The sequence below is a fragment of the Homo sapiens genome, chromosome 9, assembly GCF_000001405.40.
Source record: "Homo sapiens chromosome 9, GRCh38.p14 Primary Assembly".
NCBI lineage: Eukaryota > Metazoa > Chordata > Mammalia > Primates > Hominidae > Homo > Homo sapiens.
The window spans coordinates 67,737,678-67,751,073 of NC_000009.12; the positions used below are offsets into that span (position 1 = coordinate 67,737,678).

General features: G+C 39.2%; 1 annotated feature.

The window, feature by feature from the left end:
- Nucleotides 5,820-5,987: a silencer, noted in NCBI's record as "fragment chr9:45710113-45710280 (GRCh37/hg19 assembly coordinates)". NCBI's record gives its function as "represses an EF-1alpha promoter that drives an FKBP-Casp9 reporter gene in an ReSE screen in phorbol 12-myristate 13-acetate-treated (for megakaryocytic differentiation) K562 erythroleukemia cells {active_cell/tissue: K562(+PMA)}" and the evidence as "EXISTENCE:reporter gene assay evidence [ECO:0000049][PMID:32094911]".

A 13,396-nucleotide genomic window follows, 5' to 3' on the forward strand; every position in this document is an offset into this window, starting at 1 on the left:
ATACCATTATATGGGCAGAAAGAGGTTTCCTCACTGCGCAAGGGTCCTCCATCATTAATGCCTCTTTAATAAAAGCTCTTCTCAAGGCCACTTTACTTCCAAAGGAAGCTGGAGTCATTCACTGCAAAGGCCATCAAAAGGCATCAGATCCCATTGCTCAGGGCAATGCTTATGCTGATAAAATAGCTAAAGAAGCAGCTAGCATTCCAACTTCTGTCCCTCACGGCCAGTTTTTCTCCTTCTAATCGGTCACTCCCACCTACTCACCGACTGAAACTTCCACCTATCAATCTCTTCCCACACAAGGCAAATGGTTCTTTGACCAAGGAAAATATCTCCTTCCAGCCTCACAGGCCCATTCTATTCTGTTGTCATTGCATAACCTCTTCCATGTAGGTTACGAGCTGCTAGCCCACCTCTTAGAACCTCTCATTTCCTTTCCATTGTGGAAATCTATCCTCAAAAAATCACTTCTCAGTGTTCCATCTGCTATTCTACTACTCCTCAGGGATTATTCAGGCCCCCTCTCTTCCCTACACATCAAGCTCAGGGATTTGCCCCCACCCAGGACTGGCAAATTGACTTCACTCACATGCTCTGAGTCAGGAAACTAAAATACCTCTTGGTCTGGGTAGACACTTTCACTGGATGGGTAGAGGCCTTTCCCGCAGGGTCTGAGAAAGCCACCACGATGATTTCTTCCCTTCTGTCAGACATAATTCTTTGGTTTGGCCTTCCCTCCTCTATACAGTCTGATAACGGACCAGCTTTTATTAGTCAAATCACCCAAGCAGTTTCTTAGGCTCTTGGTATTCAGTAAAACCTTTATAGCCCTTACCATCCTGAATCTTCAGGAATGGTAGGACGGACAAATTGTCTTTTAAAAACACACCTCACCAAGCTCAGCCTCCAACTTAAAACTTAAAAAAGAGGACTCTGTCAAGGATAGAGCCCCAAAACTCACCAACCAAACAAGTAATTATGCTGAACCCCCTTGAGCACTCTCTAATTGGATGTCCTTGGTCCTCCCAATTCTTAGTCATTTAATACCTGTTTTTCTCCTTCACTTATTCAGACCTTGTGTCTTCCGTTTAGTTTCTCAATTCATACAAAACTGCATCCAGGCCATTACCAATCATTCCATATGACAAATGCTCCTCTTAACAACCCCACAGTTTCACCCCTTACCACAAAATCTTCCTTCAGCTTAATCTCTCCCACTCTAGGTTCCCATGCCTCCCCTAATCCCACTCGAAGCAGCCCTGAGAAACATCACCCATTATCTCTCCATAGCACCCCCCAAAATTTTCACCACCCCAACACTTCAACACTATTTTGTTTTATTTTTCTTTTTAATATAAGAAGACAGGAATGTCAGGCCTCTGAGCCCAAGCTAAGCCATCGTATCTCCTGTGACCTGCACGTATACATCCAGATGGCCTGAAACAAGTGAAGAATCAAAAGAAGTGAAAATGGCTGGCTCCTGCCTTAACTGATGACATTACTTTGTGAAATTCCTTCTCCTGGCTCAGAAGCTCCCCCACTGAGCACCTTGTGACCCCCACCCCTGCCTGCCAGAGAATAACCCCCTTTGACTGTAATTTTCCACTACCTACCCAAATCCTATAAAACGGCCCCACCCCATCTTCCTTCACTGACTCTCTTTTTGGACTCAGCCTGCCTGCACCCAGGTGAAATAAACAGTCTTGTTGCTCACAAAAAACCTGTTTGGTAGTCTCTTCACACTGATGCACTGATGCATGACAATGCCATGCTGTCAGTAAGCATGTCTATGAGTCCTGGGCCCCAGGTTGCCACAGGAGAATCCAATGGATCCTTACAGGCTGCTTAAAAGGGATAGTTTGTTGTAGTCCTGAATTAATAAAGTAATGTCCTATTCTCCACTTACCATGTAGTACTGCTTTTGTTAAATAATCCACTGGGGCTTGGGTAGTTTAGGTGGCAGGCAGGATATGCCCCACTGTTATGGCTTGAATTCTGAGTTGTCAAAGAGTATGTCCCCTCAGGCAATGGTGATTTTTGTGCTACAAGAAGGCGGGGGGTCAATACCAATAATGCACTCACAAGTGAGAACCATGGTCACTGACATCCAATATGGACCAAAGCCATATCACAGGTAGATAAGCACTACTGGTCAATGCATTCATTCTAAAACCTTCCAGTGTCACCAGTTTTTCTCCCTAAGAGGACCTGGAAGTATTATGTGGACTCCTGTATCAAAAAAAAAAGTCTGAATTTCTTTCTTTTCTCCTCTTACCTTGACAGAAATATAAGGCCTTTGGCCTCCATTTGGGGACCCCGAGAACTTGGTCCCATTTCTGACTCTGCCATTCAGCCCAAGACATTGGATTTGCAATGTCCTTTCATCAAAGAAACATGCCTGGCCTTTCTCTATATCTGTCCTTTAGATAATGAGTCTCCCTTTCTGTGAAGGCCTTTATCACATGTATTGATTCCTTCTCAGATGCCTCAAGGAAGATCTGAGGACCCCTTTCTTCTTTCCCTCTCAGGTGCCTTAGTGTCTGGTTGAGTACACACTTCCCTCACTCTCTGCCCCCATGAATGACAGGGTAATTAAATAAATATCCCCAACCAAGGGACCTATGCTCCTCTATTCCCTCATTGCCTTTTGTTTGCCTTGATCCATGCAGCCATCTCATTCACATCTGTGGGAAGTGGCAGACCTAAATCCGACTTATCACCCTTCCTTCCTCTGAAAATATTCAATCCCCATGCCCCCAGGCTGCTGTCTTTCCCCTGGGCTGGGTACTAGGAAGTATCACCCCTCCTGCTTCTCAAATAAGCTATGATTACATTAGATGGGGCCCTGCTTGCTGGACGCATTTTGTGGATTAGGTTTACTGTGTGCTGCTTACCAGCTTGTCTGAGTGCAGGAGACAGAATACACTCATATGCAACAAGTTACACAAAGCAGATTTGTGACTTACAGGTAGGCAGCAAGGGACAAAAGAATGCTAGGATCTATGATGAGCTCGTTCCTGAAGACTCAAGAAAGCTGTCTAGGGCACATCGAGTCTCAGCTGTGCATTCCCCACTTGCACCACAGCTGAGGGGCTTTTTTTTTTTTTTTTTTTTTTCGAGATGGAGCTTGGTTCTTGTTGCCCAGGCTGAAGTTCAATGGCACGGTCTCGGCTCACTGCAACCTCTGCCTCCTGGGTTCAAGCGATTCTGGTGCCTCAGCCTCCCAAGTAGCTGGGATTACAGGCGCCTGCCACCACGCTAAGTTTTTTGTATTTTTAGTAGAGACGGGGTTTCACAATGTTGGCCAGGCTGGTCTTGAATTCCTGACCTCAGGTGATCCACCCACCTTGGCCTCCTGAAGTGCTGGGATTACAAGGCATGAGCCACCACGCCCAGCCAGGACTCTTTAAGACAGCCTGTTCAGGGTTATATACCTCAGAGCCAATGTGAAACATTGACTTAAAGCTTTGAGGGACATCCTGCTTCCAGAGGAAAGAGCAACAGGCCCAGGCTAGTCCAGTCAGCCCCTCCTTATCTCACCATAATGTATTCCCAGCACAATCTACAGTAATTATTAAGACCTACAAGGAAGAAAGGGAAGAGAACTGGGTCAATCCAAGGCCACATGGAGAACTGTCCTGCACTGGCCAATTGTTTTGGCTGTAGTTTCAATACCAAGTTAATGTTTAGAGCTTTTGCATTGTGATTTCAGACTCTTTGATTAATATGGTGCTGCTGGGAATTCCACTGCTCCCTGTTAGTGCTGCCTATGGCAGTGGAAGCAGTTTCTCCAGGTTAGGCTACCAGGTGTCTGAGGTATGTGGTGAGGGGTGTGGTAGAATCCCCCAACCAATGTCCCCTGGCTACTCTGGGGTCATTGGGAAGAGAGTCTTAGGCCTGCAGGGACAAAGCAGCTTCTTAGGCCAGGCCACTTTCTCTACTAGGTCCCTCTTCCTGATTCTATTTTCCCACCTTTGTGCTTCCTGGTAGAAAAGGAAGCCTCAAGCTGTACTGGGAAGGAGAGCACCTCTCTTAGCATTTCTCCTAGCTGCTTCTCCTGGATGGTGGTGGGTGTCTCAAGCTAGTGGCTCCTGATTGATCCAAGGGAGGAAGGAGCTTACTTGAGGTATCTTCTGTTGCTAGATTGGGGGATTAGGAAAAATAAGTCTGAAGGCCTTCTTCAGGACTTCAGGATACACAAGATGCCTTGCTGTTGTGCTGTTTCACCATTCCTTGCATATCAAACTAACTCTTCTTCTGTTTACCTCCATCTCATAGAGCTTTTTCATGTTAGTCACATGTGTCATTTTCAAAATATACAGTTGTGCATAACAAAAAGAGGCGGGAAAAACATGGATCTGTGCCATATTGTCTGAATCCGAAGTTCCTTGCATACTTTATATTAAATAAGCTTTATCTGTGAGCTATATTACTAGTATTTTCTTTGCCTATAATTGTTTCAGGTGTCACATTTAAGAGTTTGCTTGATTATGATATTTAAATATTACAGAATGTATTTGCAGAATATATTTGCAGAATAACAATATTCTGCAAATAATGCCCTTGATATTAAAATTGAAAATCACTTTTCGTAATAGATCAAGGAAATTAGAACCTAATGATTTAATGGTGTACACAATTGCAGCATTAGTTTTCTATTCAAAGCAACATAAAATAAATGACAAATTGAAAGAAAAATAGGACTTTATTTACTCTATTCAAATATTAAAATAAATAATAATATGTCTATTGAAATGTCATAATCAGGATATCATTTATTCCAATTAATTGATTAAATATGTAATCAGTTAAATGTCATAGATTTTATTTTTATTTTTATAGAGGGAAGATGTCATTCTGTCACCAGGCTGGAGTACAGTAGCTGGATCATAACTCACTATAACCTCAAAAAAGCCTCCCAAGTATCTGGGATTACAGGTGTGAGCCACCACGATAGGCTAATTAAATTTTTTAATTTTCTATAGAGATGAGGCTCTCCCTGTTACCCAGGCTTGTCTTGAACTCCTGGGCTCAAGGGATCCTCCCACCTCAGCCTCCCAAAGTGATAGGATTACAGGTATAAGCCATCATGCCTGGCCCTAGAATTTTTAAATTAATGGTGGTTGATACACATATTTACATTGTATTTTAGCCAGATTTACTGAGGTATAATTTACTTATGCAAAATTTACTAATTTATTTATTTATTTATTTATTTATTTTTTGAGACAGAGTCTGTCTCTGTTGCTCAGGCTGGAGTGCAGCAGCGCAATCTCGGCTCACTGCAAGCTCCGCCTCCTGGGTTCACGCCATTCTCCTGCCTCAGCCTCCTGAGTAGCTGGGACTACAGGCGCCTGCCACCATGCCCGGCTAATTTTTTTTGTATTTTGAGTAGAGATGGGGTTTCACCATGTTAACCAGGATGGTCTCAACCTCCTGACCTTGTGATCCGCCCGCCTCGGCCTCCCAAAGTGCTGGGATTACAGGCGTGAGCCACTGCGCCCGGCCGAATATTTCCATTATAGCATATACTCGAATGCATCTTAAAGTATTTATAAAGGTAATACTCATTGTATTTACTTATATGACTTTTTAATTAGATTATAAAATCCAGTTACCTTTTAGTATGCTCAAAATTGTGTCAAATAATATTAATTCTTGAGTTAATTATGCATTATAAATTATTGTCTCTTAATAAAATTTCACGTACACTTTCACTCTGTAAAGCTGGAATGCATGTGGAGTTGCTTCAATTTTTCTTTTTTGTTTGTTTGTTTGTTTGTTTGTTTGTTTGTTTGAGACAGAGTCTCGCTCTGTCGCCCAGGCTGGAGTGCAGTGGTGGGATCTCGGCTCACTGCAAGCTCCGCCTCCTGGGTTCACGCCATTCTCCTGCCTCAGCCTCCTGAGTAGCTGGGACTACAGGCGCCCACCATCGCGCCCAGCTAATTTTTTGTACTTTTAGTAGAGACGGGGTTTCACCATGGTCTCGATCTCCTGACCTCGTGATCCACTCGCCTCGGCCTCCCAAAGTGCTGGGATTACAGGTGTGAGCCACCGCGCCCGGCCTCAATTTTTCAATTGTATTTTCACTTTTCTCTTTTTATGCCTACCTAAATTTGCTCCTATAATTGAATTTATCATTTAGGAGTGAACTTTTGTTTAAGAAAATGTAATCTTTTTCATCAGCATACTCAATATTCCAATTTTCCATTATAGATTATAAGAATAAATCTTTAGGTAATATAGGCAAACAAAATTTAATATATAGAATTAGTTTCTTACACGATTGGAGAGTTGGTGGAGCAGGTCTTGGGCTGATCTTCTAAATGATTGCTAGAACTCCTCCAGAAAAACGACAGAGCTGGGACTGTTGCTCCTTTTGCCATGACTGAGAAGCTGGAGAATCAGGATCTCCTGTGCAACCACTGGCACTAAAATTATGCTAACTTTGCTATTTGTTTTTTTCCCAGTTTCAAAGTTTATCTTATTAACTTAAAATTTAAACAAAATTGTTAGTCTAAACATCATTAAATGTACTCATGGGAAACATATTTACATAGAGAATAATAAAATATTTTTTTGTAACTTGAGGCACATTGTCCATTTTACAAATGTACTTTTAGAAAAACTGCTTTGAGAAACAATAATTTTTTCTGTCATCCTTCATAAAAGCTAGACACACATTTCTAATGCAAATTTCTTTTTTTTTCTACTTTGATGTGGAAGCTGGGAAGCTCGAATGTTTGCATTTTAATTTAACAATACGAAGAAAAATTTCATCTGTTTCTCTCTACATTGTTGGCCTTAGACTTACTGTAGCAGCCTCCATTCATATCTCTTACAGGGGTACCTTATAGTTTCATATCAGGTCATTCCTGTTCCTCTTTCCTTTTGTGATGCACCTCTTCTTGCTAAAGATTTTGGTCACTATCTTTTGTTTTGTGTTTACTTATTTTAGCTTGTATATAAGTTCTGTTCTACACAACATTTCTGATTTACATGTCAGGAAATGTGTGAAACAGTTTGCCACCTTCCTGACTGATCTGGGCCTAAACTTTGCCCCTATACTTTGAATAAACAGTTGCATTCTCTAACACATATTTTATTTGATCCAAACAATACATTAGTCCAACTACCAAACATATATCTTAGATCCTCTGTAGCTATAACATTTTCAACAGTCATATTTATGGAATCCATCTCCCTCTGTTATGTTTTTATTGTTATCCACATAGAGGAGATAGATATAAATGAACTCACTCTGGTCAGCCAGGGACCACACAGTGGCTTAAGATATCTTAATCCAGGTATCTGCAGACTAACCCTAACCTAACAGTGAGTTGCTACCTTTGTTTTTTTTTTCTCTAAGCATTAAAATACTTCTGTCATAGCTGCTTGCTTCTTGATCATAGGATCTCAGCCAAGGTTCATATTTGAATAACACAGAATGTTGGCCACAGAACTAAGGACTGGACATTTGGTCATTTGTGACTGTCGTTACAGGAAAGTAAATGGTTTTGTTACACTGCTTGTCAGGAAAAAGAATAGGAAGGCACCTTCTATCTCAGGCTCTTTTCCTTAAAGAAGGTAGGTTTAATGTAAAACCTGAATTGTGAGTAAGCCTGGGGATATCATTTTTAGCTGTTCCAAATTGAGCAAGTACTTAGTCAAACTACCAGAGTTTTGGAATATGCCTGAGTAAGCCAGTCTGAAATAGCCGATGGTCCAGCTTAAGACTATTCAATATCCATGCACCTGCCTTTTCTAAAGCTTAAACTTCAAAAGAGTAACAGTAACAAGTACATGATCCTGTCAAATATAATTCAAATATATGTTGCACAAATTAAAATGCAGTGGTCCTATCCAAAATAGGTATCCATGATATTCACTCCTCTTCGGATTCAGTCTCAACTATGTCTTAATATCCTGAAATAAGATAATAAATTATGAAGTTATTCAAACCAGCCTACCCTAAAAATGATGGGAAAAATGGAAGATAAAATAAGACAAACAATTATATACATGACAATGCAGAAGAGAAGAAAACCCAAGAATGTATTACATACTTAATTTTATAACTGATCATGGAACTGTGGATGGTATTTGTACCATTCTTTTTATATTATTCATTCCACACTTCTCTATAGTATCCTAAATTATCCAAGTTTCCACAGCAAGAGCCCACTCTTCATGAACAGTGCCCTTAGTTGTCTTGTCAAATTGGAGTTGTTTTAATCTTCCATTAATGTTTACCACTTGACAGAAAATCCAAAAGGCATCTGAGGAGTCCAACTCCAGGCAGAAACCCTATGTGTAACCTTTCAGGCCTAACCATAGGCCATGACAATGGCTTTACCTGGCAGGCCTCACTAGAGAAAGATACTCTCCCTATACCAGAATTGGCAAACAGCCAGTGCATTACAATATCTAATGGGAGCTGCAGTCTAGGACTCATTCCCCGCTAGCCAACCATCCTCCTGTGCATGTCTGCCATTCAAGTCTCAGGCACCCCCATCTGAGCTATCCTTATTAGGGACCCTCAATAGAAAACCTTTGCAGAGAACTCCTTATGATAGGGAGAGAGGGATAAGGGAGAGGAGAAAGGGGAAACATTGAAATCATTATTCTCTATTCTGAATCAGAACTCAGTATTTTCCCATTCTTAGCCCTTCCTCCTCTTTCTGTCCCAAGGACCCAGGTCCATAAGATGAAAGGAGCTTTTTGTTCATGGCTCCTTGGTCAAAAGATCCTTGCTGAGAAAATTCCCACATCTGCATTTGTGCTGATCTACATGACCTTGGCCTGGAGCTGTTTCATGGGACAAAATGGAACATTGGAGGAGCTAGCGATCTTTCCTCTTTAGTTTCTTGCTTAAACTATCTCAGTTAGTAAAGATTTGACTGTTACTGTCATTTTGGCTTATTGTTTTAATTAGCTATTTCAACTCCATGGCAGCTTAGCTCTTGACAGCATTCTGGAAAGGACATAGGATTCTAGACATTTTTACTGCTTTTGTTATATGAATTACATGTCTTCATAATAAGGAATTAAGGCTGGGAGTGGTCACTTGTAATCACAACACTTTGGGAGGCCAAGGCGGGTGGATCAACTGAGGTCGGGAGTTTGAGACCAGCCTGGCCAACGTGGTGACTGAAATCCCATCTCTACTAAAAACGCAAAAATTAGCCAGGCATGGTAAAGTGCGCCTGTAGTCCCAGCTACTCGGGAGGCTGAGGCGGGAGAATCACTTGAACCCGGGAGGCGAAGGTTGCAGTGAGCCGAGACGATAGTGCCATTTCACTCCAGCCTGGACGACAGAGCAAGACTCTGTCTCAATAACAATAATAAGAATAATAAGGATTTAATATCCAAACCATTCTTGTAACATATTTAATATTGCCATTCAGTGGTAAATAAAAATAATATACAATCATGCCCTGCCTAATAAGAACATTTCGGTCAATGATGAACTACCTACAGAACAGTGGTCCCATAAGATTATAATGAGCCAAACAATTCATATATATATATATGGAGAGAGGAGAGAGAGAAAGAGTTAACCATTAAACAGCCTCAGACAGGTCCTTGAGGAGGTATTCTATAAGGAAGCATTGTTATCGTAGAAGATGAAAGTTCCACGCATGTTATTGCCCTGGAAGACCTTCCAGTGGGACAAGATATAAAGGCAGAAGACAGTAATATTGATAATCCTGACCCTGTGTAGGCCTCAGCTACTGTATGTGTTTGTGTCTTATTAATAAAATGTTTTAAAAGTAAATAATATAAATTTAAAAACTTTATTTTTCTTTTTTTATTTTATTATTATTATACTTTAAGTTTTAGGGTACATGTGCACAATGTGCAGGTTAGTTACATATGTATACATGTGCCATGCTGGTGTGCTGCACTCATTAACTTGTCATTTAACATTAGGTATATCTCCTAAAGCTATCCCTCCCCACCTCACCCCACCCCACAACAGTCCCCAGAGTGTGATGTTCCCCTTCCTGTGTCCATGTGTTCTCATTGTTCAATTCCCACCTATGAGTGAGAATATGCGGTGTTTGGTTTTTTGTTCTTGCGATAGTTTACTGAGAATGATGATTTCCAATTTCATCCACGTCCCTACAAAGGACATGAATTCATCATTTTATGGCTGCATAGTATTCCATGGTGTATATGTGCCACATTTTCTTAATCCAGTCTGTCATTTTTGGACATTTGGGTTGGTTCCAAGTCTTTGCTATTGTGAATAGTGCCGCAATAAACATATGTGTGTGTGTGTCTTTATAGCAGCATAATTAATAATCCTTTGGGTATATACCCAGTAATGGGATGGCTGGGTCAAATGGTATTTCTAGTTCTAGATCCCTGAGGAATCACCACACTGACTTCCACAATGGTTGAACTAGTTTACAGTTCCACCAACAGTGTAAAAGTGTTCCTATTTCTCCACATCCTCTCCAGCACCTGTTGTTTCCTGACTTTTTAATGATTGCCATTCTAACTGGTGTGAGATGGTCTCTCATTGTGGTTCTGATTTGCATTTCTCTGATAGCCAGTGATGGTGAGCAATTTTTCATGTGTTTTTTGGCTGCATAAATGTCTTCTTTTGAGAAGTGTCTGTTCATGTCCTTTGCCCACTTTTTGATGGGGTTGTTTGTTTTTTTCTTGTCAATTTGTTTGAGTTCATTGTAGATTCTGGATATTAGCCCTTTGTCAGATGAGTAGGTTGCAAAAATTTTCTCCCATTTTGTAGGTTGCCTGTTCACTCTGATGGTAGTTTCTTTTGCTGGGCAGAAACTCTTGAGTTTAATTAGATCCCATTTGTCAATTTTGTCTTTTGTTGCCATTGCTTTTGGTGTTTTGGACATGAAGTCCTTGCCCATGCCTATGTCCTGAATGGTAACGCCTAGGTTTTCTTCTAGGGTTTTTATGGTTTTAGGTCTAAGGTTTAAGTGTTTAATCCATCTTGAATTAATTGTTGTATAAGGTGTAAGGAAGGGATCCAGTTTCAGCTTTCTACATATGGCTAGCCAGTTTTCCCAGCACCATTTATTAAATAGGGAATCCTTTCCCCATTGCTTGTTTTTCTCAGGTTTGTCAAAGATCAGATAGTTGTAAATATGCGGCATTATTTCTGAGGGCTCTGTTCTGTTCCATTGTAGAAAAAAGCTTATATAATAAGGGTATAAAGAAAGAAAATATTTTTTGTACAGATGTTCAATGTGTTTGTGTTTTAAACTAAGCGTTATTGCAAGAGTCAAAAAAATTATAAAGTAAAAAAGATACAGTAAGCTAAGGTTATTTTATTATTACAGAATAGTTTTTAGAAATGTAATGTAGCCTAAGTGTACAGTGTTTATTAAGTCTACAGTAGTGTTCAGTAATATCTAAAGACTTTGCTTTCTCTCACCACTCACTCACTGTCTCATCCAGAGCAACTTCTAGGCCTGCAAGTGCCATTTATAGTAACCATCCTATACAGGTGTGCAACTTTTTATTTTTTATACCATATCTTTTTATTGTATGTTTTCTATGTTTAGATATAAAGATGTTTATCATTGTGTTTCAATTGGCTACATTATTTAATATAGTAACCTGATGTAAGGGCTTGTAGCCTAAAAGCAATAACTTCTACCTTATTGCCGAAGTGTGTAGTAGGCTACACCATCTAGGTTTGTAAAAGGACACTATGATGTTCACCTAGGGAACACATTTCTCAGAATGAATTCTCATCATTAATCAACTCAAGACTGTACTTATAAGTGAATCCACTGTCATTACTATAGTTCAGGTCACCTTAAGTTTCTTCTTGGACTTGCCAATGAACTGTGGAATTAAGAAGCTCTCTGCCTACAGTCTTGTTTATCTATTGTAATCTGTTTCTTGTAGTCCCTATTTTAGATCTCATTAATGTCTTGTCACTTCCATTAGAATAAATTATAAACACTTTGGATGGCCTGAAGACATTTGTAATTTATCCTAAACTCATCTCTACTCTCATCGCTTGACATCTCCCTCTTCTACCCACACATATATATTTAAGCCCACGTAATTACTGCAATTACCCCAAATTCTGTACTTCTCACCAGTGTCTTGCAAAACCCACTCCATCTAACTAATAAGACTTTTCATTTAACTCTCCAGTTGTAGTTGATATTCTAGTTTCAAACTCTATTTTCTCTGTGAAGGCTGTACTGATATCACAATTTTGTTTCTTCAGTGTGAGCATTGGCAGCCTGTGGCCTATGGTTTTGGTACAGCCTGCAAGGTAATAATGGTTTTTAGAGATTTAAATGATTGAAACAATTTTTTAAAATAACATTTTGTAGCATATAACGATTGCAGAAAGTAAAAACTGCAGTGTTTTCATAAATAACAAGGTTTTTTTTTGGACACAAGATCATTCACTTACATGTGGTCTATAGATGTTTTCAGGCTATTATGTCAGAGTTGAGTGGTTGCAACAGAAACTGCATGATTGTCAAAGCCTAACATACTTAAAATCTGACCCTTTGTAGAAAAAGCTAACATTTGATCTAAAGTTTTCTGTAAAGATACATCTACATTATGTTTATCGTAATTTATATTTATCTGCCTACTGTTTGCAGTTTTGAAAAACTATAATCTTCCAGAAAATGGAAACTATAATATTTTTAATTAGACCTCAAGCAAAATTATTTTAAAATGTGGTCTCAATTTTTAAGAAAGTGGGGAAGAATGCTTTTTTTTCTTTTGTTAAACTTCTTTGCTTCCAGTCCAAGAAGTGACTGTCATTTATTTTTATCTTATTGCTTCCTTTCTCATATTAGCTTGATAAAAAGTAATGAAATAATATTCAGGTTTCTTAGTAGAGTCATGTTGTAAACATAAACTTTTTTTTTCTAGCCACTCTCAAAAAATGGAAAGCATCTGCTTTATGAGTCACCTAATTAATGACATTGAATTATCTAGTAAGTGGACTCTTCAGGTTAATTAAATATCTTCATTAACTTTTTCACTGCTTTTAAAAATAACATTTACACATTTATGCTAATAGGTTCATCATGTGTCCTTAATCAGTTATTTAGCTTTGGTGCAGAGTTAATAATTCCAATATTTGTTCAAACTGAAGAAAATCCAGGACTCAAAAAAGAAAGGATATTTTTATTCAGGTTTTGAGAAAATCATAAGTAAAACCCCCAACTTATTTATCAATAATTGTATGTTACATACATTTCCATATTTACAATTTTGATAAAATAGTTAAAATTAATATTTATCTTTAATAATTTAAATATTAATTAGTTATGTATTTATTGGCTCATATTATTTACATTATATATATATTTATATAATTTGCAGTCTGACAATGCAATAGAAAAAAAACCAAAACATTTTCTGAGAAGAA